This window comes from Homo sapiens, chromosome 1, assembly GCF_000001405.40.
Source record: "Homo sapiens chromosome 1, GRCh38.p14 Primary Assembly".
Classification (NCBI taxonomy): Eukaryota; Metazoa; Chordata; class Mammalia; order Primates; family Hominidae; genus Homo; species Homo sapiens.
The window spans coordinates 120939621-120963100 of NC_000001.11; the positions used below are offsets into that span (position 1 = coordinate 120939621).

General features: G+C 44.0%; 1 long non-coding RNA gene and 1 other non-coding gene across 5 annotated transcripts in view, besides 9 other annotated features; both read left to right on the top strand.

Annotated features, from left to right (window-relative positions):
- LINC00623 (long intergenic non-protein coding RNA 623) overlaps positions 1-16191 on the top strand; it is a 43574-nt gene extending 27383 nt beyond the window's left edge. For 2 of the 4 annotated variants that reach the window (NR_024584.2, NR_024511.2), the window contains 2 exons: positions 12819-13165; positions 13600-16191. This is a non-coding gene — a long non-coding RNA (long intergenic non-protein coding RNA 623). Of the gene's footprint in view, positions 1-12818 lie in introns of all 4 variants that reach the window. The other 2 variants (NR_109754.2, NR_024510.2) reach the window with 2 other exon arrangements.
- Positions 188-688: an enhancer, noted in NCBI's record as "H3K27ac hESC enhancer chr1:144493899-144494399 (GRCh37/hg19 assembly coordinates)". NCBI's record gives its function as "activates a minimal SCP1, AML or CMV promoter by ChIP-STARR-seq in primed H9 embryonic stem cells {active_cell/tissue: H9 hESC(primed)}" and the evidence as "EXISTENCE:reporter gene assay evidence [ECO:0000049][PMID:30033119]".
- Positions 689-1189: an enhancer, noted in NCBI's record as "H3K27ac hESC enhancer chr1:144493398-144493898 (GRCh37/hg19 assembly coordinates)". NCBI's record gives its function as "activates a minimal SCP1, AML or CMV promoter by ChIP-STARR-seq in primed H9 embryonic stem cells {active_cell/tissue: H9 hESC(primed)}" and the evidence as "EXISTENCE:reporter gene assay evidence [ECO:0000049][PMID:30033119]".
- Positions 2204-2918: an enhancer, noted in NCBI's record as "NANOG-H3K27ac-H3K4me1 hESC enhancer chr1:144491667-144492381 (GRCh37/hg19 assembly coordinates)". NCBI's record gives its function as "activates a minimal SCP1, AML or CMV promoter by ChIP-STARR-seq in naive H9 embryonic stem cells {active_cell/tissue: H9 hESC(naive)}" and the evidence as "EXISTENCE:reporter gene assay evidence [ECO:0000049][PMID:30033119]".
- Positions 2204-2976: a biological region, named in NCBI's record as "NANOG-H3K27ac-H3K4me1 hESC enhancer GRCh37_chr1:144491667-144492381".
- Positions 2667-2976: an enhancer, noted in NCBI's record as "active region_1604". NCBI's record gives its function as "activates an Ori minimal core promoter by ATAC-STARR-seq in GM12878 lymphoblastoid cells {active_cell/tissue: GM12878}" and the evidence as "EXISTENCE:reporter gene assay evidence [ECO:0000049][PMID:35858748]".
- Positions 2908-3611: an enhancer, noted in NCBI's record as "NANOG-H3K27ac-H3K4me1 hESC enhancer chr1:144310745-144311448 (GRCh37/hg19 assembly coordinates)". NCBI's record gives its function as "activates a minimal SCP1, AML or CMV promoter by ChIP-STARR-seq in primed H9 embryonic stem cells {active_cell/tissue: H9 hESC(primed)}" and the evidence as "EXISTENCE:reporter gene assay evidence [ECO:0000049][PMID:30033119]".
- On the top strand, positions 2980-3143 carry RNVU1-4 (RNA, variant U1 small nuclear 4). The gene has a single exon (NR_104073.1). It is a non-coding gene; the product is annotated as an RNA, variant U1 small nuclear 4 (small nuclear RNA).
- Positions 12523-13221: an enhancer, noted in NCBI's record as "H3K4me1 hESC enhancer chr1:144481363-144482061 (GRCh37/hg19 assembly coordinates)". NCBI's record gives its function as "activates a minimal SCP1, AML or CMV promoter by ChIP-STARR-seq in naive H9 embryonic stem cells {active_cell/tissue: H9 hESC(naive)}" and the evidence as "EXISTENCE:reporter gene assay evidence [ECO:0000049][PMID:30033119]".
- Positions 13222-13922: an enhancer, noted in NCBI's record as "H3K4me1 hESC enhancer chr1:144480662-144481362 (GRCh37/hg19 assembly coordinates)". NCBI's record gives its function as "activates a minimal SCP1, AML or CMV promoter by ChIP-STARR-seq in naive H9 embryonic stem cells {active_cell/tissue: H9 hESC(naive)}" and the evidence as "EXISTENCE:reporter gene assay evidence [ECO:0000049][PMID:30033119]".
- Positions 16280-16833: an enhancer, noted in NCBI's record as "OCT4-NANOG hESC enhancer chr1:149619223-149619776 (GRCh37/hg19 assembly coordinates)". NCBI's record gives its function as "activates a minimal SCP1, AML or CMV promoter by ChIP-STARR-seq in primed H9 embryonic stem cells {active_cell/tissue: H9 hESC(primed)}" and the evidence as "EXISTENCE:reporter gene assay evidence [ECO:0000049][PMID:30033119]".

Below are 23480 nucleotides of genomic sequence, written 5' to 3' on the forward strand. Positions count from 1 at the left end.
TTTTAATGACGGTCTTGCAAGATCGGGTGTCTGGCATGCAGGCACACCCAGCACAGTTTCAACAAGCAATTTACGCCCTAGTGCACAGGTCCCTCCCTCAGTTCCTCATAGGCTGAGTACTAGCCTTCCACAATCTTCCTAGACATCACCTATTGATTGTTCTTCAAGTACATTCTTTAGGGTCTTTCTGCTGCATTTTATTGCAGCACACGATGCATTATGACTCTCAGGATTTTTCAAACATTTGACTTACAGCTCTAGTGGCTGCACTTAGCTGATAAGAAAGGGTACAATTATCTATGTTGCAAGCTAGCTTAAACTAAATTTCTTTGTGGAGTGGGGAAGGGGTAGATGAGGGAGCCCCCACCGATAGATGCCTGGCCACTGGGTGAAAGGGAAAGAAGGAAGGTGGAGGGGGTGGCTCAGTACATTCTGCTTCTTTATTTCTTTCTTTCCAGGTAGCCTGCCTAAACCTATACCAAGCCACTTAGAATTGAAAATAGATAATCACATATAGGTTATTTCCTACAATTCCCTCCTTTTTCTTTTTACCCTTTTTGGTTTCATTTTCACTTAAATTGCTTTTTCAAACTGTTCCAGAATTGTTTACTTTTTTTTTTTTTAGACGGAGTTTTGCTCTGTTGCCCAGGCTGCAGTGCAGTGGGGTGATCTCGGCTCACTGCAACCTCTGCCCCCCAGGTTCAAGTGATTCTCCTGCCTCAGCCTCCCGAGTAGCTGGGATTATAGGCGCGCTGTAATTTTTGTATTTTTAATAGAGACGGGGTTTCACCATGTTGGCCAGGCTGGTCTTGAACTCCTAAACTCAGGTGATCATGAGCACCCGCTTCAGCCTCCCAAAGTGCTGGGATTACAGGCGTGAGCCACCGCGCCAAGCCAGAAGTTGTTTACTTTCTTCCTCATAGGAGGAGGAGTTTATTTGGTTTCTAATAATAGTAGGTTATTTTGTTGGAACATCAGGGGCATCTGTTTACTGAGAGTTGTTTTAATAAACCTTAGTGTTATATATATATATACATATATATATAAAATATATTACATATATTATATATAGTAGTAGTGTTAAACCCCTTACACAAGTATTGATGCAACATCGTATGTCAATGACAGAATCTGATAAGTTGGAAGAGTATACTGTAGAAGATACATCACTTTTTTTTTTTTTTTTTTTTGAGATGGAGTCTTGCTCTGTTGCCCAGGCTGGAGTGCAGTGGTGCAATCTCGGCTCACTGCAACCACCGCCTCCTGCGTTCAAGCAATTCTGCTGCCTCAGCCTCCCAAATAGCTGGGATTACAGGTGCCCACCACCACACCTGGCTAATTTTTGTATTTTTAGTAGAGACAGGGTTTCACCATGTTGGCCAGGCTGATCTTGAACTCCTAACCTCAGGTGAACTGCCCGCCTTGGCCTCCCAAAGTGCTGGGATTATAGGCATGAGCCACCACCCTGACTCATACTTCACTATTGAAACAAACTTTTTTTGTGTACAGAAGAAAAAAAATTGTACAGTTAATAGTGTCAGAGATAGTGAAAATATGAAACAAGAACTGCTTACAAGAAAGGAGCACTCAGGGGACCAAACCTCTGCCAGAGCCAGCGGGGAAGTGACTTATGCCTCTCTCTTCTTTCCCTCCTGTCCCCGCCCCTCATCTCCCGCAATGAAGCGGGTACTTAATCTGTGTCCTGTGGAGGTCCCCTTTGGCAGCCAGCTGGAAGCCCGTGCACCCTCCTTCAAATAATGGCTTTCAATGAGCAGACTAGAACATTTAGGATTGCAAAGGAAACCGATTCCTTTCAAACCTGGTTATCTTTGTGATGTGGCACTGTGTGCATATCTTCGTTAAAACGCATTGAAGGCCACTGCACTCCACCCTGGGCGACAAGAGGTGACTGTGTCTCAAAAAAACCAAAAACACTCCCCCCTCACCCCAAAGCATTAGACATCAAGGCTGGCAGGGAAGTCTGTTCTCTTGAAAGTTCAATATCAATTCAATACTTTAAATTCACTGTAGTTTCAATCCATTGGTATGGAAAGTGTTTTGAATTATTGTACTGATTTTTTTCTATCCTCTTTCTGATACGCATGCTAATCATATGGACCTTGGACGTCTATCTTCCTGAACTTTTCTCTCCTGTTTTTACATTCTTATTTTGGTTTGTGGGAAATATTCTTGATATTATCTTCAACTTAATTTTTGTTCTTGCTTCTACTATTTTAGTTTAATTTCCAAGTATTTTGATATTGAACTTTCAAGAGAACAGACATCCCTGCCAGCCTTGACGTCTAATGCTTTGGGGTGAGGGGGGAGTGTTTTTGGTTTTTTCGAGACACAGTCACCTCCTGTCGCCCAGGGTGGAGTGCAGTGGCCTTCAATGCGTTTTAACGAAGATATGCACACAGTGCCACATCACAAAGATAACCAAGTTTGAAAGGAATCGGTTTCCTTTGTAATCCTAAACGTTCTAGTCTGCTCATTGAAAGCCATTATTTGAAGAAGGGTGCACGGGCTTCCAGCTGGCCGCCAAATGGGACTTCCACAGGACACAGATTAAATACTCGCTTCATTGCGGGAGACGAGGGGCGGGGACAGGAGAGAAAGAAGGGACAGGCATAAGTCACTTCTCCCGCCGGCTCCGACAGCTGGTTGCTCCGCTGAGGGGCGTTGGGTGAGGCGGAAGAGCAGACGGGGATCCAGAAGGCGTTGTCGGTGACATCACGGAGAGGGCGATTTCTATGTAGATGAGGCAGCGCAGGGGCTGCTGCTTCGCCACCTGCTGCTTCGCCACGAAAGAGTTCCCGTGCCGTGGGAGTAAGTCTGGGACCTCTGGTCGGACCGGAGAGTCGCAGCTGTGTGTTAGGGCTAGGATGGCTCCTGGATGCGCGTGACGCAAGTGACCTTGCGTGTAAAGGGTGAGGCATATGAGGCTGCGGCGGGGCGGAGGGGCGTGAGCTTATACTTATGTTTATCTGGCAGAAGAAATGTTATGATCACGAAGGTGGTTTTTCCAGAGCAAGGCTTAGCAGTTTTACTGTGGATGTGCTGACCCCTGTGATTTCCCCGAATGTGGGAATCTTGATTACATAATTTGTGGCAGTGGGGAACTGTGTCTGTGTTTTTCCCTGGGTTGTTGTCGTTTTAAAAGTGGATTTTGTTTGCTGTGGAAGCATATACAAGGCGTTAGTATAAACTAATAAACAGGTCTTTGTTCCCATCTGTAACTTACTTTCAAAGTAAAGATTTTGCCAGGTAGTGGTTGGTTCTCACGCTTGTAATCTCAGTAGTCTGTGAGATGCATTGATAACTTTATGTTAATACCGCTCGAGCTCTGGAGTTTGATGTCAGTGTGGTCAAATATGGTGGACCCGTCTCTACTAATCTCTTAACTTTTTTTTTTGTTCTATAGAAATAAAACTAAGCTTTTCTTTTCCCTACGGGAGCCCATTGTAAACATTTATTAACAGCAAACAGTCCACTGGAGTGCATGGCGGGATCCCGGCTTACTGCAACCTCTGCCTCCTGCCTTCAAGCTATTCTCCTGCCTCAGCCAGAGAATACTCGATCTCCTAAGTAACTGAGATTACAAGCGCAGGCCACTAAAAAATTAGGCCCGGCTAATTTTTTGAATTTTTGGTAGAGACAGGGTTTTACCATGTTGGCCAGGCTGGTCTTAAACTCCTGACCTCAAGTTATCCGCCCGCCTCGGCCACCCAAAATGTTGGGATTACAGGCCTGAGCCACCGCGCCTGGCCTGTTTACAGACTTTACAGACAGATTTTGTTTACAAGCTTTACACGCACGGTTCAGTTGCAGTTAGTGTATATTATGCTGGGCCCAAGACAAATGTCTTTTTTTTTTTTTCCCAGTGTGGCCCAAGGAACCCAAAATTTAGACAACCCTGCTCTAGAGGGTTTGATTCATGTTTCCACTGGGTTATGCTTATTGCCTGTAATTCCATTTGATATTTTCCAAATCTGATTTTTTGAAAAGCGTTTTCCTGAAGCACCCTAAAGCTTTCCTAATAATATGGGAACTTAAACCAGATTGGATGTAACAAAACCCAGCTGGGATCCTGCAACTTCTAACCTTAATGTTAGATCAAGAAGCAAAACACCCACCAGTCCAAGGGTCAGGGAAGATGAAGATCATGCCTGAGCTGTAACAACGCCCTTCCCAGTATACAAAAGCGTGTAACAGCCACTTGAATTCTATCTTCCAAGTGTCTCCTGTTGCCCAGGCTAACCTAGAGCTATCTAAAGATGGCAAATCTGGGAAATGTGCATTCAGCTTGGCAAAACTGATACATTACAAATCCACCACAGTCCACTTCTTCTCAAAGTGGCATCAATGTGCACCTTCCTCCTCCTCCTTCTCTTTTCCTCCTCTTCCTCATCCTCTTCTTTCTCTTCTTCTTCCTCCTTTTTCCTCCTTGTAAAGCCATACTTAAGGTTCAAATAAAGACAATAGGAAAATCATACTTTTTCTCATTCAGTGAAAATATGCCAACCCTTTCCCCAACAGGATAAAGTCTTTTATTTGTCTTTGAATGATGTTCACTCCTTTTTTAGCTAGATCACATTCCATATTTGCTATCCTGTAACCTAAATATTGAGATTTCTAAAAGTTAACTATTAATGAATATGATAGCGAGGATGATGGAAGATGAGAATTCTCAAGAAAAGTATTGGTTAATATATAACCAAATGTATTCATCTCAAAATAATGAAGAAATACTCCTAACTATTACAAGTCCTCATTTCTGCAACTGTCACTGGCCCTAGCTGGTATTTGTAACTATCTTCACATCTTGCTCTCACAGCCATTTCCTTTGGGCCTGGGCCAGTGGACGTGAGCGTGGGAAAGACCAGAACCCGCGGTGCTCCCCACCGCACTATCCTCGGGTCTCCAGAGGTGGGATACACCGGGCAGGGGCCTTTGCTGGATTCTAAACCGGCTCTGGGGATACAAGAACAGCTGCCTTTGAGAAACAGTTCAAGTCTCTATATTCCAGACTTCCTAGTAGGACTAAACGCTTAATGTTCATCCAGGAATTCATGGTTCTCCTAAAACCCTGCGGTGGAATGCCTTCCTTCACTGAGCATTTATTGGGCACCTACTAGGTGCTAGGGTGGCTCTGGGCGAAGGGCTGCAGCCTGTGCAAACTCCAGGTCCCTTTCCTGTGGATCCCACCTCTGAGGGCCCGAGGGGGACGCAGTGAGGACACCACGGGTTCTGGTCCTTCCCACGCGCGCGTCCGCTGGCCCAGGCCTGGCGGAAATGACTGTGAGCGCAAGGTGTGAGCGGGGCTAAGAATGGGAAAGCGAGTGGCTTTCGCCGGAGAAGCTGCAGTTGTCACCTGTAGAGGGGCCAGCGACTTTTGAGAGGGTGAAGAGCAGGCGGGGGAAGCAGTGAAGAGCAGACGGTGAGGAGCAGGTGGCCCTTTGGCCGTTGGAGTCCCCCAGCTGACTCTGCCCGGGTAGAACGTCCAAAGTGCCCAAAGACTCGACTCTTGGCTTCATTGTCTCCCGTATTCTGGGTTTCTGGAGTGCGCGGGATTGGACAGGCATCAAATATATGAGATTATCTGCAGCCAGAGGTTAAAAAGCCATTTCTGGTATCAGCAAATGAGTTTAAGACACAAGCCATTAGAGTCTCTGTGGCGCAATCGGTTAGCGCGTTTGACTGTTAACTGAAAGGTTGGTGGTGCAAGCCCATCCAGGGATGGCACCTTTTGCTTAGGCAAGATTCACAGTTTCTGTTTAAAGACTTTAATCCTGGGAATCCTCCGGACCTCTATTAGCTTTGAATCAGATGCCAAAATATGCTGCGTGAAGGCTCAAGTTCCATGGAAGTTCCTAAAAACAGGAATATTTCAGCAAAAGTAATTTTTCAATAGAGCCTGAGCCTGGGGCTTCAGAGCTTACGCCAGAGCCACTGCACCTATTTCATCACCTCTTGAAGCTGGGTTTTTACAATTGCACATTCCTGGAAATCCAAAACTCCCAATAATTGAAAACAAGAAAACCCCAGTCTTCACTTGTAGTGAAGCCTCAATTTCTGGGTTGAAATCTTGGTTCATTCATGACGTGACTTTTAAAACGTTACTGGATTTTCTGTACCTCAATTTCTTCGTCTATAAAAAAGAGCAGCCGGGCACGGTGGCTCACGCCTGTAATCCCAGCACTTTGAGAGGCCCAGGCAGGTGGATCACCTGAGGTCAGGAGTTCGAGACCAGCCTGGCCAGCGTGGTGAAACTCCGTCTTTAATAAAAATATAAAAATTAGTCAGGCATGGTGGCGGGCGCCTGTACTCCCAGCTACTTGGGAAGCTGAGGCAGGAGAATCACTTGAACCCGGGAGGCAGAGGTTGCAGTGAGCCGAGATCACGCCATTGCACTCCAGCCTGGGCAAAAGAACGAGACTCCTTCTCAAAAAATAAAAATAAATAAAAAATAAAAAAGAAAGAAAGAAAGAAATTTTTCCTGGCACATTTCTATATGTTCCATTCTGGATGACTTGCTCTTCAGGCTTATCCCACAGCTGTTATCATAATATCTCTCTTTACTGCACCATCTTGGGATTTCCATCGCCTCTCTCTTGTTAGATCCCCTGCTTCATGGATCTCAAGGGGGTTCATTCCTCACTCACTTCTTCCTTTTGATGATGCATATCCTCCAAAACCTCCTATAAAGTGGTTACCTTAGAAATAAACTTTTTGAGACACTGCATGTCTGAAAATGTCTTTTATACCCATAAAATTAATTGATATTTTACTAGATAGAGATACAAAAAGATAGGTGGAAATAATTTCTCTCTGAGATTTTTGAAGGCACTGCTTTTTTTGTGTGTGACAGAGTCTCGCCTCGCTCTGTCGCCCAGGCTGGAGTGCGGTGGTGGGATCTTGGCTCACTTTCAATCTCCACCTCCCAGGTTCAAGCGATTCTCCTGCCTCAGCCTCCCCAGTAGCTGGGACTACAGGTGCCTGCCACCATGTCCGGCTAATTTTTTTATTTTTAGTAGAGATGGGGTTTCACCATGTTGGCCAAGCTGGTTTTGAGAGCGACCACTCCTCATATTGTCTTACACTTAATTTCTTGTTTGCTGAAAAAGTGGAGGTTGAAAGAATGGGCAGAAGTGAAAATCACGCTCAGACAACTGGGTGCCACATTTCGGGCCTGGTTGTTAAAATTCAACCGCTGACCTCACCGATTGTGCTGTCTATAAATTCCAGACATTGTATAAAAAAGCATTATGAAATTCCCTTTTCTGTCCTGTTTCATTCTGATTACCAGTACATGCAGCCCCCAGTCACGTACCCCTTGCTTGCTCAGTTGATCATGACCCCCCCAACACAGCCCCTTTAGAGTTGTGGGCCCTTAAAAGGGACAAGAATTACTTATTTGGGGAGCTCGGTTTCTAGGATGTGAGTCTACCGATGGTCCCAGCTGAAAAAAGCTCTTACATTCCACAATCGGGTGTCTGAGGGATTTTGTCTATGACTCCTGCTACAGTTTCAAACTCCTGACCTCAAGTGATCCGCCTCCCTTGGCTTTGCAAAGTGCTGGGATTACAGGCCTGAGCCATGGCTCCCGGCCCTTGTTGTTTACTGTTTTCCATAGTCATTTCTGAGAAAGAAAAAGGTAAGCCTTTTCTGCTCTGAGCTAGAGCTGGTCTGACAAACACCTAGGCCATGGTGTTCTATGGTTAAAACGAAAAATTTCACAACACCAATATCAGACAAAGTTACCCTCTCACTAAACTGAAAGAAATACTATTTCACAATCATATTTGAACATAAAAAGAACACTGTTCAAACCATAATATGATCAAACATCCCAGCTACTAATAGTGACGGTTAATGATTTTATTTTTTATTTTTTTGTGATGGAGTCTTGCTCTGTCACCAGGCTGGAGTGCAGTGGCACAATCTCAGCTCACTGCAACCTCTGCCTCCTGGGTTCAAGCAATTCTCCTGCCTCAACCTTCCGAGTAGCTGAGACTACAGGCACCTGCCACCACACCCAGCTAATTTTTGTATTTTTAGTAGAGACTGGGTTTCACCATATTGGCCAGGCTGGTCTGGAACTCCTGACCTTGTGATCCACCCCCGCCCCGCTCAGCTTCCCAAAGTGTTGGGATTATAGGCGTGAGCCACTGCACCAGGCCAGTTTTTTTTTTTTTTTTTTTTTGAGACAGTCTCTGTTGCCCAGGCTGGAGTGCAGGGGCGTCATCTCAGCTCACTGCAACCTCCACCTCCTGCGTTCAAGTGATTCTCTTCCCTCAGCCTCTCAAGTAGCTGGGATTACAGGCATGCCCAACCATACTTGGCTAACTTTTGTATTGACTGTTGATTCTTTACCAATTATGTGTTTAGTCTTGCAACCACTTCTCCCACTTTCTAGATAAAAATACCGAGATTCCCAAAGGAAGAATTGCCCCACAATTTCCCCATAGTGTTTGCTGTCTCCTGTGTTGCAATGAGCCAATATACTCAGGTTTGACTATAGGTTTGTTCCTGATGGTTATACACTGGAGCACATCAGCACCATAGAGAAGATGGATGCCGCTCTGATTCTTTGTTATTTGCCTTAAACTCTTCTCCCATCTCCCCTCCCAAAAGCCTATAGAATCTTCTACCTCTTCCTATTAGTTTGAAACTTCATGATATATTTCCATCCACCATGCTGGGTACTGAGTGTGCTCTTTCAATATGGGAATTTGTATTTTGGAGGTATCATTCCAAAGATGTTTATGCATATACAATTAAAGGTATATATTTATTTCCTGCAACTACCATCACCCTTTTGATACACTTCTGCTGTATAATAAACCATCCCAAGCTTATTGACTTAGAATAACAATAATTGGCTGGGCGTGGTGGCTAACACCTGTAATCCCAGCACTTTGGGAGGCCAAGGCGGGCAGGTCACGAGGTCAGGAGTTTGAGACGATCCTGGCTAACACGGTGAAACCCCGTCTCTACTAAAAATACAAAAATTAGCCAGGCGTGGTGGCAGGTGCCTGTAGTCCCAGCTACTAGGGAGGCTGAGGCAGGAGAATGGCATGAACCCGGGAGGCCGAGGTTGCAGTGAGCCGAGATCATGCCACTGCACTCCAGCCTGGGCTACAGACTGAGATCTCGTCTCTTAAAAAATAAAAAAAGAATAACAATAATTTATTATTTTTAGTGATTCTGTGAGTTGGCTTGGAAATTCTTCTAGTCCAAGCTGGTTCATTTGGGGCTGGATGGTCTAGGATGGCCTCACACATCTGGGGTATAGGTGGATTGGTTGGAAAAAGTGGGATGCATGGATCTTTTTCTTCATGTGATCTCTCTAGCAGGCTAGCTTTGGGGGATCTTCAGATCATGGCCTCAGGATTTCAAGTGAAGAAAAAAGCAGGTAATCCTCCCATGTGCAAGCCTCTCTTCTGCCAGGTTTGCGAAGGCACCAACATTTGCCCAAAGCAAGTCATATAGCCAATCCAAGATTCAAAGAGAGGAGAAATAGACTCTCTTGATGAGAGAAGCTGCAAAATATAACCACTTTTTTTTTCAATCTGTCACAGTATACCATACTGGACTATCAGTAGCTTCCTCATTTTTCTTTCTTTCTTTCTTTCTTTTTTTCTTTCTGAGACGGAGTCTTGCTCTGTCGCCCAGGCTGGAGTGCAGTGGCGACATCTCGGCTCACTACAAGCTCTGCTTCCCTGGTTTAGCCATTGTCCTGCCTCAGCCTCCCTAGTAGCTGGGACTACAGGCACCCGCCACCACGCCCGGCTAATTTTTTGTATTTTTAGTAGAGACGGGGTTTCACCGTGTTAGCCAGGATGATCTGGATCTCCTGACCTCATGATCTGCCTGCCTCGGCCTCCCAAAGTGCTGGGATTACAGGCGTGAGCCACCGCGCCCGGCCATGACACAAGTTTAAAAGAATATTTTTGTTTGTTTGTTTCAGACGAGTCTCGCTCTTTTGCCAGGCTGGAGTACAGTGGCGTCATCTCGGCTCACTGCAGCCTCCGCCTCCCGGATTCCAGCGATTCTCCTGCCTCAGCCTCCTGAGTAGCTGGGATTACATGCGCCTGCCACCACGCCCGGCTAATTTTTGTATTTTTAGTAGAGAAGGGGTTTCACCAAGTTGTCCAGGATGGTCTCTATCTCTTGACCTCGTGATCCGCCCTCCTGGGCCTCCCAAAGTGCCGGCATTACAGGCGTGAGCCACCACGCCCGGCTAAAAGAATAATTTTTATTTTATTGTTTATTTTATTTTATTTATTTTATTTTATTTTTATTTTATTTTATTTTATTTTTTATTTTATTTTATTTATTTTATTTTTTGAGACAGAGTTTTGCTCTTTTGCCCGGGCTGAACTGCAATGGTGCAATCTCTGCTCACTGCAACCTTCACCTTTTGGTTTCAAGTGATTCTCCTGCCTCAGCATCCCGAGTAGCTGGGATTACAGGCACCAGACACCATGCCCGGGTAATTTTTGTATTTTTAGTAGAGATGGGGTTTCACCATGTTGGCCAGGCTAGTCTCAAACTCCTGACCTCGTGATCAGCCCACCTCGGCCTCCCAAAGTGCTGGGATTACAGGCATGAGCCACCTCGACTGGCCTAAAAGAATAATTTTAAAAAATCTTTTTTTGATCAGGCTTGGTGGCTCAAACCTGTAATCCCAGGACTTTGGGAGGCCAAAGTGGGTGGACCACCTGAGGTCAGGAGTTTGAGACCAGCCTGGCCAATATGGTAAAACCCCATCTCTACTTAAAATACAAAAAAATTAGCCGGGGTTGGTGGTGTGCGCATGTGGTCCCAACTACTTGGGAGGCTGAAGTGGGAGAATCACTTGAACCCGGGAGGAGAAGGTTGTAGGTAGCCGAGATTGTGCCACTGCACTCCAGACTGGGCAACAGAGACAGACTCTGTCTCAAAACAAAACAAAACAAAACCAACAAAAAAACAAAAAACAGCAAGCAAGGACCCCATGGCCTGCAAGATCCAAACCAGTAAAGGAGCAGCTCCTCAGAGACAGGCATGTGCATTAGAGAGAAAAAGTATGCTTAACATGACTTCATATGATAATCAGCTCATTAAAACTCATGCATATGGACTACATATCATGCATGTACTTAAAATTATGGGATGGAGGCAACGTGCAAGCACACAAGGGCCAAAGTAACTAAGCACCTGTCAATCAAAAGACAAACACTGGCTAAAGATTAGGCATCCCTGTGAAGAGAAGAAAAAAACACACATAAAAAGACCCAAAGTACACCAAACTAATACTGATCTCATCTCCCAGACTCTCCCCACTCTGAGAGTGTTACTGTGCTTAATAAACTTTTGCTTTGCTTTGCTGCTTTATGTGTGTCATGTACAGTTCTTTGTTTGGGACACCAAAAGCCTGGAACTTCATGGAACCATCTGGTAAGAATTAGGATTTTTTTTCCTAAGGGTTAACAAACCAGCCCTTTGGAAAGACTTGCCTCTCCACTGTTATCAACCAATGGCCTGAAACTTTCCCTCCCTTTTGTGGTTTTGACAAAACAAGCAAGCAGCATTCCCTCCTGATAAGAGACCACTGACCTAGGAATGATTCTGGCCAGACTACAGAGGATGTACAGTGAGGGTTTTCATGTCCTCTGCTTCAGCTTTTGATGTCAGAGGGCCACAAACTCCTCCACTCTCAGATGATTGCTAATGCCACCATTTTATGAACATGGGCCCCATGGAGAGGCACGAAGCTCAATTGCACTTCTGCACATTTTTCCTCCTATAAATATTGCTACTGGAATATTATTTGGTACGGCTCCCGTGAAAGATACATTTGCGGAATGTACTCAAATTAGAAGCATCATGTAAACCCTATAATGTAGCAATAGTGCATCAACTTCCCTACACTATAGAAATATCTGCGGTGTAGACATTTCCACAATGACCAAAGATATGTGTACAAGAAAGGTGGCTGCAGCATTCTTTGTAATCCTAAAACAATGAAACCTACCTCATCTCAAAAACTTTATTTTTTTATTTTTATTTTTTTTGAGATGGAGTCTCGCTCTGTTGCCCAGGCGGGAGTGTAGCGGTGCAGCCTCCACTGGTGCAGCCTCCACTGCAGCCTCCACCTCCCAGGTTCAAATGATTCTCCTGCCTCAGAATCCCAAGTACCTGGGATTACAGGCACATGCCACCATGCCTGGCTAACAAAAACATTTTGAAAAGGGTTAAATAAATAATGCACAAACTGAGGAAAAATACTGTTTTCAAAAATGATGGAGAGGATCACTATGATGATGAATGATTCCACTGGTCACATTATTGATAGACCAATCAGTAAATCCAGGCACATCCTGGAGATACTACTGGACTCCTATTACTAAAATATGAAAAAACGGAGACAAGTAAGTTACTCATTTAAGCGTATAATCGACTGAATTAGAATTTTATCACACCAGAAGTGGGTTCCTAGGTCTCTGTTTCAGGATTCCTGAGTTACACAGGTGTAAACCCGCCGTTTCAGGAGATACCCGATTAAGAATCTGGTCGGGGAGCTGGCTGGCCCTTGACATGGATCAGTCATAAATTAGTGGCTAATTCTTCCCCATTTATGTAGTGATTGACAATACGTGCATGCTTTAAAAGTTCCAATAAGCATCCCTGGGTGGGCTCGAACCACCAAGCTTTCGGTTAACAGCGGAACGCGCTAACCGATTGCACCACAGAGACAAGCACTGCTAACTCCACTGGGCCATATAGGAAGGGCGCACTCACTAAACTTCCTCTGTCCCTTCTATTCCCAGGGCCCGCCTGGCAGGACGACTGAGCAAGTTCTTGGAAAACCAGAGATATTAGAGCGGTGAATCGCGCTGGTCACGTTGGACACCTGCGCGTTAGGAGATTCTGGAGCCAGAGGGAGAGACCCCAGAAACGCCCCGGTCGGCGACCCAGCCCGAGACGCCTGGGGTCCCAAGGGAAGCTGAACGCCCGGTGGGCTCCCGGGATGGTTCTTCCGGTTCTTTGTGCCGCCTTCACCCAGTGAAGGAGCCTGTATCCACCCTGCCCAGTCGCTGTTGGGCTGCTGCGGAGCTTCCGCTGCCATCTTCGGATCCTGTGTTCCGCCCGGGGCTCCACCAGGGCAGGGATGGTGGTGAGGGTCGCTCGTGGGTCCCCTGGCAGGGAGCAGGGTCTGGCACTCACAAGGGCGCACGACTAGGACTTGTCGAATGAATCCCTTGTCGCCTTTAGCTTTTAGTCCTTTGAAGAGAGGTGAGAGTGGAAATCAAGAGATTTTTTTCCACGGGGAAGTTCTTTTTACAAAGCGTTGATTTCTTGGCACCCCGCGGGGCGGGCAACTGACACGACCTCCGGTGCACCTTCTGCGCTGTGGAGCCTCTGGGGCTCAGCTGGGCGGTGGTCGGGTCGTGGGGCGGTAGGGCGGGAGCGGGGGAAGGGAAAGCAAAAGCTGGAAAAGAAGCAGGGGAGTTGTGAACCAGACATCCAGACCTCCTGAAGGGCTCGTGCAGACGTACAGGCGGGATCTTCTGGAAGTGAGAATTGTTTTTGTTTGTTTATCTATTGTAGCAGAATGGGGAAATGGAGAGAGAACCTGAAAGAGCCCCAAACTCGAGGACCTATTGCTCCCCAAGAATAACATCTTCCAGAACTAGACAGAAAACTAGGCGTCTGGGAACCCTGAAATCCTTGGAGGAGTAGATCATCATGACCCTCTGTGTTCCTTTTGGCAAATGACTTGCTTCCATTGTTTGTTTGTTCAATTGTCTGTTTGTTAAATAAATAAAACCCTTTTTATGTATCTTTAAAATTACATTGGTTCTATTATTTTATGATTACAAACGATGCTGCAGTCATCATTCTTGTACACTTCTCATTGGCCACTGGTGTATTTCTATAGGGTGGAGGCCTGGAGAGCAGTTGTTCCAGCATAGTGTTTACATAGCTTTTATTTAATTCCGTTTTCTTTCCTTTGTTGCTTTATTAGCTATAACCCTTCTCTTATTTCAGTGGCAGCTTTAGGGTTTCTGGGATACATCTTTAATTTATCACATTCTGCTTTCAAGTGTAATTATACCTCCCTTTCTGGCCTTTATCCTAGTGTTACGTATTTTTACTTTATGCATTATAAGTTTTGTGATTATCATTACCTTCATTTATTATGTCAAATATTTTTAAAAAGATTTAAATTATAAGAAAATGTGTAGTACATGCTTTCTAAATGCCATTTCCAATATTTGTTTTTGTATAGGTCCAGATTTTTATCTGGGATCCTTTTGCTTCTGCCTGGAGGACTCTTAAGATTTCTTGTAGCGTGGGTTGGTGAATTCTTTTAGTTTTTGTATGTTTTTCAATGTCCTTATTTCACTCACAGTTTTGAAATTTTATTTTTGCATAGAATTCTAGGTTAATTTTTTTCTCTAGTACTTTAAAAATGTTGCCATTTATGAAGCATTGCCATTTAAAGTATCATCTTTCATGTGCTTGTGAAAATGGCATAAAGCCGGTTTCTTGTGCTGGTTATGTAATTTTCAGAATGTGTATTTAAATTTAAAATATTAAATTTTCCTAAAAAACTAAAAATATTAATCATGAATGTCCTAGATTCATCTTAAATTCCACCAACAGTGCACTTAAAATGTGCCCAACCTGAGGGTCAAACCTACCTGCTGACATGTAATTTGTGTTTGTGAGACATTCTCAACAGCATTTGCTTTCCCCAGCTGAGTGATCTTCCTCACATCTGAATGTCTTCAGTGCAAAAGGAAATGTTTTTCTTCGCAAAAATACTTTCAAATACTCTTACTTCAAGGAAGTGCATTAAAAACAAACTTCTCATTTGCATCCCTGGAATTCAAAGCCCTAATCAAGTGCTTCAGGATCAAGAGCTAAACAGGGGAGGACAAAGCGTGGCTTCTTCACTAGGAGTCAAGCCAAAGTCAACTGGTTTGATCGCCAACGTAGATCGGAACTCGGTTCACCAGCGACCTGAGGACCCGGCCCAGAAGAGGGAGTGTCTCTTCATGGTGCCTTCAGATAGAAAATCTCCTAGGATTTCTTTCTTTCCCTTTGATCTACTTCCAACTCTCCCTTTCTATTTCTTCAAGACCTTTTTCGGATCCCTACTGCGAAGGACCTAAGGGGCCGGTGCCCTTCCCCACTGGTCCCTCCCTGCCTGGTGTCTTAGGAGCCCAAGCTCACCTGGAACATTACTGCCCGCCGGAGACAGCGAGAGGACCAAGGAGCGCGGCGGTGCGGTGGGAACCACAGCGTCACCGCTCACCTGCGCCTCGTGGGCTCCTAGAAAATTGAATAAATGCCCCCTGAAGCTTCTCTGCAGGTCACACGGAAGAGGAGGGTGGCTGCCGACACGCGGGAGAAGCTTCAAGAAGCGTCGGGAGGACCTACCTGGTCCTGCCCCTGGGCCTTGAAGACAGGCCTGGCCAGGCTGATTTGGTCCGGTAGTCTCAAAGAAAATGTTCAAGGGTGGCCCAAACCTCCACCCCAAGATTAAGGCTCTTAAATGTCTGACGGTTTTGAGACTCGTCAGTAGAATCAATCCCGCCTGTATCAGGAGACTCCTTTGCCAAAATTCAAAGACCAAGAAAGAGAAAGATTGGGCAGGTTAAAGTCTGTAATTAACCAAACAGGAGACAGAATTTTTCTGAGAAATTGTATGTGTGCTGTGAGAAAAAGACTAGCCTCAAGGAGAATCTGTTCTTTTGGCTTAATTGTAGGAAAGAATGGAATTGCCACCAACAATGGTACGTTGAAACGGCAGGTGCATCAGGCTGTAGATGTGAAGGAATTAAAAATATTTTACCCCAAAATACATTTCTTTGACATATTTTGAGATGTCTGTTCAGAAAGCCAGCTGCAGAAGTAGCCCTGCAAAGTTGTCTTTCGTTGGGGAGATTTGCATCTGTAGGGAATCTGCATTGATGCAGCCAAGTCTTTCCTTGCCCAGATCTAGGAAAGATTAACTGAGAGTCTGACAGCTGTAAAGGTCTGAAAGAAACTTTCAGAGCTTATTCTTTCTGAGAGCTGCTGCCTGTAAGGTTTCATTTACATATTAAGATCACCTTTGCTAGCCAGGCCTCCTCTTCTCTCCCTCCCATAACCTGTCTTGCCCACAATAAATGGATATACCTCTGACTCTAATGGTACCTGGTTTTGGCCATGCTTTGAGCCTTTATTCATTCTGTTAACTTGAGACGGTATATAAGCCTCTGCATCCCATTGTGTGTTTCACTCACGTCCATGTGAAGAGACCACCAAACAGGCTTTGTTTGAGCAACAAGGCTGTTTATTTCACCTGGGTGCAGGCGGGCTGAGTCTGAAAAGAGTCAGGGAAGGGAAATAGGGGTGGGGCCATTTTATAGGATTTAGGTAGATAAAGGAAAATTACAGTCAAAGGGGGCTCTTCTATGGCGGGCAGGGATGGGTTCACAAGGTGCTCAGTGGGGGAGCTTTCTGAGCCAGGATGAGCCAGGAGAAGGAATTTCACAAGGCAATGTCATCAGTTAAGGCAAGGACCAGCCATTTTCACTTCTTTTGTTGTGGAATGTCATCAGAACAGGCCATTTAAATTTCACTTCTTTTGTGATTCTTCAGTTATTTCAGGCCATCTTGATGTCTACTTGCAGGTCACAGGGGATATAATGGCTTAGCTTGGTCTCAGAGGCTTGACATTCCTGTCTTCTTATATTAATAAGAAAAATAAAACAAAATAGTGTTGAAGTGTTGGGGCGATGAAAATTTTTGGGGATGGTATGGAGTGATAATGGACGATGTTTCTCAGGGCCACTTTGAGCGGGATTAGGGGAGGTGTGGGAACCTAGAGCGGGAGAGGTTAAGCTGAAGGAAGATTTTGTGGTAAGGGGTGATATTGTGGGGTTGTTAGAAGGAGCATTTGTCATATAGAATTATTGGTGATGGCCTGGATACGGTTTTGTATGAATTGAAAAAAGAACGGAATAAGACAAGGAGAAAAACAGGTATTAAAGGACTAAGAATTGGGAGGACCCAGGACATCCAATTAGAGAGTGCCCAAGGGGGTTCAGCATAGCCCTGCCATCAAAGATTATTTATTTACTTTAAGAGGGAGTTAAGAGTGGCAAATCTGGGGACAGCACCAGGAGATATAAGCTGTGATGGCTTGGAGAAACAGAGTAAACCGCCAGTTTAAACAAGAGCAGAGCATTTATGAGTAGTTGAGAACGGTGAATAGAAGTATGACTAGACAGAAGATAGTAGTGATGACAAGTTTTTGGGGGCACAGTCCAAGTTGGTCTGGTGTCTGGAATGAGACTGGGGCCTAATAAAAAGGAACATCTATACAGGAGCTTAAATGGGCTGTACCCTGTAGCATTCTGAGGACAGGCCCGAATTCTGAGAAGGCAAGTGGTAAAAGTATTGTCCAGTCCTTTTTAAGTTGGTGGCTGAGCTTGGTGAGGTGTGTTTTTAAAAGACCATTAGTCCGTTTTACCTTTCCTAAAGATTGAGGACCGTAAGGGATATGAAGGTTTCACTGAATACCAAGAGCCTGAGAAACTGCTCGGGTGATTTGACTAATAAAGGCCGGTCCGCTATCGCACTGTATAGAGGTGGGAAGGCTAAACTGATGAATGATGTCTGACAAAAGGGAAGAAATGACCGTGGTGGCCTTCTCTGACCCTGTGGGAAAAGCCTTTACCCATCCAGTGAAAGTGTCTACCCAGACCAAGAGGTATTTTAGTTTCCTGTCTCGAGGCATATGAGTAAAGTCAATTTGCCAGTCCTGGGCGGGGGCAAATCCCCTAGCTTGATGTGTAGGAAAGGGAGGGGCCTGAGCAATCCCTGAGGGGTAGTAGAATAGCAGATGGAACACTGAGAAGTGTTTCCTTGAGGATAGATTTCCACGATGGAAAGGAAATGAGAGGTTCTAAGAAACGGGCTAGCAGCTTGTAACTTACTGTAGGAACACAAGATGACTGCTTTGGGGGTAGTGTTGGGTAGCTGCTATTGTGCTAAGGGCTGAAATTGACTGAAATTACCTACAATTTACCAACTGGGCCTTCCTCCAGAAGTTGCAAGCCATCAGTAGGCTCCAGAGCTCTGAAATATTTACATCAGACAGATCCTGCCTGTGCAGTTGTTGTCTAGATTCCAGGTGCTTCTCATTCCACCATCTTCCCAGGATACACTCTGAGCTTCTGGATTTTGAATTCAGTCAAGCTGTTCTGTAACAGCTGGGGTGAAAGCCAGCAATGATCCTGCTAAGAAAGCTCCCTGGAAAAAAAAAGTTCAAAAGTAACATAAATATCAAACTGGAAAGAAATTGATTTAGGAACCAAACCCAGGTTGTCATGGTGAAAAAAGGGGCAGAACCTTAGCTACTGAACTGCAGCCTGGGGTACGAGGTGACAACCATTGCTTTTTTAGTTTGGTTTGGCTAGCAAAGGTGGCCTTGTTATATAAATAAAGCCCCTCTGGTAGTCAAAACCTTTATTTTCTCTCTCTCTCTTTTTTTTTTTTTTTTTTTTTTTTTTTGAGAAGGAGTCTTGCTCTGCTGTCCAGGCTGGAATGCAGTGGTGTGATCAGGGCTCACTGCAAGCTCCACCTCCTGGGTTCACACCATTCTTCTGCCTCAGCCTCCTGAGTAAATGGGACTACAGGTGCCAGCCACTATGCCCAGCTAATTTTTTTGTATTTTTAGTACAGATGTATTTTTAGTAGAGTTTCACTGTGTTTGTCAAGATGGTCTCAATTTCGTGACATCATGATCCGCCTGCCTTGGCCTCCCAAAGTGCTGGGATTACAGGCGTGAGCCACCGTGCCCAATGAAAACCTTTATTTTCGTGATGGCTGCTTATTTATTTATTTATTTATTTATTTATTTTTCTTTCCCTGCTCTCCCTCTTTTTAAATTTTTATTATTTATTTATTTATTTTTCTGCAGAGATTTATCCAATTCAGAGGTCTTGTCCCCATAATTTGGAACATTCCTTTGGATTTGATCAAGTCAGATAGAACTGGTCAAACCCAATGGGGAAAAGAAGGAAACAACAATAAAAACAAACAGAAAACAAAAAACAGTTCAGAAAATTAATGATCGCACAATTTATATGATTGCTTAGCACTCTAACGGTAAGAAGAAATTATGATCAGTTGGTTGTTAATCTTTTTTATTTTTTTATTTTTTATTTTTTTTGAGACAGAGTCTCGCTCTGTCGCCCAGGCTGGAGTGCAGTGGCGCGATCTCGGCTCACTGCAAGCTCCACCTCCCGGGTTCACGCCATTCTCTTGCCTCAGCCTGGTTGTTAATCATAACTTTAATCATTTAGGAGAATTTCAAGACAAAACACAGGTTCAGTTACTTACCTAGGAATAGGGCCCAGGCTGAAGACTGCTCTGTACCATCCTAGAAGCAGGAAAAAACTCAAACTCTCCTTCCCTCCTTCCCTGTTAGAAGTGAACTGAAACCCCAGAAAGGAATTGCCTGCTCTCCATCATCATGGAAGCAGGAAAAGTTGCCTTCATTGTTGGAAGCAAGTAAAACTCCAGAAAATGAGTTGTACAGCAAAATAAACCTTAGATCTCGATCAAATTTTGGGAAATCAGGGATTCTCTGGAGGGGGTGGATCTCTGAGGCCTCAGCAAATTTTCCTATTGGTTTGAGCAATAAAAATAGCTCAAGCTGGTACCAAGTACAGATAGGAGATTTGTCAAAGGTCAGGGCACCTCCACTCAGAATTCCTTCATGGTTATCAATTGTAAACCAAAAAGTATGTGAGACAGGTCTGAATTGATTTAGAAAGCTTATTTTGGACTCTTACTCATAGGTAATTCTAGTCTTCATAGAAGTATAGCAGCCAGGTGCAAATTGTGGGGGCCTGGAAATAATTTTGGTATAACACAGATTAAATAATTTGTCTAAGCAATAGCTTGGCAACTTTGGGAGCCAAGTTGTAATCCTGGAAAGATTAATGCTTGGCCTGAGATGTAATAGCCACTCCTCCAGGTTGTCTTTTAATGTGGGAAGTAAGTTCTAGTGTGTTTCTGTAGTGTGGAACTTTTAGAAATAATATTCTTGTCACATTTGACAATACCCATGGCTGATCTAGACAAAATATCATCCACTCGCTGTTTAGCCCTGATTTGCATATGAGACTTTGTGCTAGTCATCTGGTAACTTTTCACTCAGCAGTGGGGATGAAGTAACTGAAACTCCAGAAAGAAGAGTTATTAGATACCTCAAAAATGATGAAGATATTAGAAGCCCTGGCCTTAGGGGTCCAAGGAAGAGCAAGGTTTGTGGGTAATAATCTGTATAAATCTGATAGGAAGCTATAAGGAGGACTCTTAGGACTTTGAGGTGGGTGAAGATTAGAGCCTGGATTAATCAAGGGCCTGTGGCTTCTAACACCATCAGTTGCCTGTACTCAGCCACCTTCAGCAGTGTTATCTGGCTCTAGAGAGCCATAGCATTCCAGGAAAGGAAAGAAGTCTGCACAAAGCCCTGATGTTTGTGTCCCCCCATCTAGACAGACATAGTAGCATGCAGGGACAAAGCAAAAGAGAAGAGTAGGCAGAGACAATGTGAATCTGTTCACCACATATTGTAAATGCATTTAAAAATATTGTTAGCCCATATTTGCAGGTAGCACTAATTATGAAGTTGTTGGACTGAGGACTTTATTTATTTGTGACTCTCACCATCTTCAAAGTCAGCAATGAAGAGTTTCTTCCTCATTGAATCACTAACACGTTTTGGATCTCTCTGACTTCCTAGTTTGCTGACCTCTGACCTCTAGATCCAGACTTTAAAGGCCCATGTTATTAGATTAGTCAACCTTTATAATCTCCCCATTTTAAGGTTAATTGTATCTGCAAAATCCCTTTGCCATACAATGTAATATAATTATGTAATTAGCAACCATAAGAAAGCTGAAGTGACTTTTAAACCAACCCAATTGTCCCATAGAACTGATGTTTACGGTTTCTTTTGAATAAACATAGAAATTGACCCTTTCAGTCTTGAAATTTGAGAAAGTTACATTTGTATTATCTGAGTTCCTTTCTCAGGAAACCAAGCGTTGGGCCCTCCAGATAGTATCAAAGAACTGAAATTTACCAGAGTACCACATCTGGACAATGAAATGTCAGACCCCTTATCCCATCAAAATTGCCTAAGTGACCACCTGCTTCCTGTTGACCAATTCCTCTTTCTTACCTCTCCCTAATTCCTGTTTTCCTGTATGTAGTTCCATTTCTTCCCTGCTATCTAAACCCTGAATTTTCATTGGTCAGGAAGATGGATTTGAGACTGATCTCCCATCTCCTAAGTTGTAGTACCTGATGAAAGCCTTCTTTCCTAGCAAAGCTAGTTGACTCAGTGATTGGCTTTCTGTGCAGTGAACAGCAAGACTTAAATCAAACCTCTGGTGTTTCAGTAGCAACTATCCTAATACCAGACAAAATAAACAAGAGACTTTAAGACAAAAAAAGTTACTGAAGACAATGAGGGCTATTTTGTAATGATAAAAGGGTTAATCCATCAGGAAGAGAGTACAATTATAAATACACATGCATCTAATAGAGCCTCAAAACACAGGAAGCAAAAAGTGACAGAATTGAAGGGAGAAATAGACAATTTAACAATAGTAGATGGAGACTTTAATACCACAACTTTCAATAGTGGATACAGCAACTACACAGAAGATCAATAAAGAAATAAAAGATTTAAACAACATAACCTACCAGACATCTATAGAATACTCCACTCAACAAAAACAGAATACACTTCCTCTCAAGTACACACAGGATGTTCTATAGAATAGACCATATGCTAGCCTTTAAAATAAATCTTAATAAATTTAAAAGGACTAAAATCATATAACTTCTGATATATCTCATAAACTAATACTATCACACACTATAGTTTCAGGTTAGCATGTAGGGTATGCAGTTTGTTGGTCCTGCTTCCTTCTGTTTGTCATGAATGTGGAGGTGACCATGATTACACATGTGTAGGCCAGTAGCCCAGGAAAGTCAGGCAGCTGAAGGGAAAGGACAGATATTCCATAAGAGTCTCCCTATCTCAGTCTCAAAAAACCAGGGAGGAATTGATACATAGGAAGTGAAGAGTTACATCAGGGGATGACTTCTCTTCTGCCTATCTATGCCTGTCTTTAAAACCTCAGTTTCTATCCCACTAAACCCCATTGCACAGGAAAACTGTTGATCACCGCCAACCACCACAGACTCATTAACTTGATTTTTACCATGCTTTGTCTGAGAATATATCCTCAGGCCAATGCAAATCATTAGTGTTCCATAAAAACTGCTTCAAACACATAAAATAGTAACAGTTTATAAGTCATTCCAAATTAGGTGGCAACTACATGTATTTAAAGAGATATACATAAATTATTTCAGCAATTGTGACAAATTGGAAAGAAAGCATGTGGAGTTAGAATGAAAATCATAAGTGACAAGCACAAAATATGTATACAGAGATTATAACACTAAGCAAACCACACATAGAAGAGGAGAGTGGGGTTAGGAGTTATGAATATCAAGCTTGTCCTCAAGTTAAGTGAAAAGCCAGCATGGGCCAGGTGTGGTGGCTTATGCCTATAATTCCAATGTTTTGGGAGGCCAAAGTGTGAGAATAACTTGGGCCCAGGAGTTTGAGACCCACCTGGGCAACATAGTGAGACCCCATCTACACAAACACACACACAAAAAAACACACACACACACACAATAGCTGAGTGTGATGACATGTGCCTACAGTCCCGGCTATTCAGGAGGCTGAGGCAGGAGGATCACTTAAGCCTCGGAGTTTGAGGCTGCAGTGAGCTGTGATCATGTCATTGCACTCCAGGTTGAGCAGCAGAGCTAGACCCTTTCTATTAAAAAAAAGCAAAAAAAAAAACAAAAAACTAACATGCTTCCCCAGTGGGGGAAATATGTCAGTATAACATTGGTTTGCAGCAAGAAGTATATTAAGATATTGACCAAAATCCTTTTATTATTTATTTTGTTTTTATTTTTTGAGACAGGGTCTCACTTTGTCATCCAGAATGGAGTGCCGTGGCATGATCTTGGTTCACTACAGCAAAAAACACCTGGACCCAAGCTTGCAGTGAGCAATCATGTCTCACTGCAAGCTCTGCCTCCTGGGTTCACACCATTATCCTGCCTCAGCCTCCCAAGTAGCTGAGACTACAGGCACCTGCCACCACACCCGGCTAATGTTTTGTATTTTTAGTAGAGACGAGGTTTCACCGTGTTAGCCAGGATGGTCTCGATCTCCTGACCTCATGATCTGCCTGCCTTAGCCTCCCAAAGTGCTGGGATTACAGGCATGAGCCACCGTGCCTAGCCCCATGCCTGGCTAATTTTTTAAATTTTTTTGTAGAGGCAGGGTTTCGTCGTGCTGCCCAGGTTGGTCTCAAACTCCT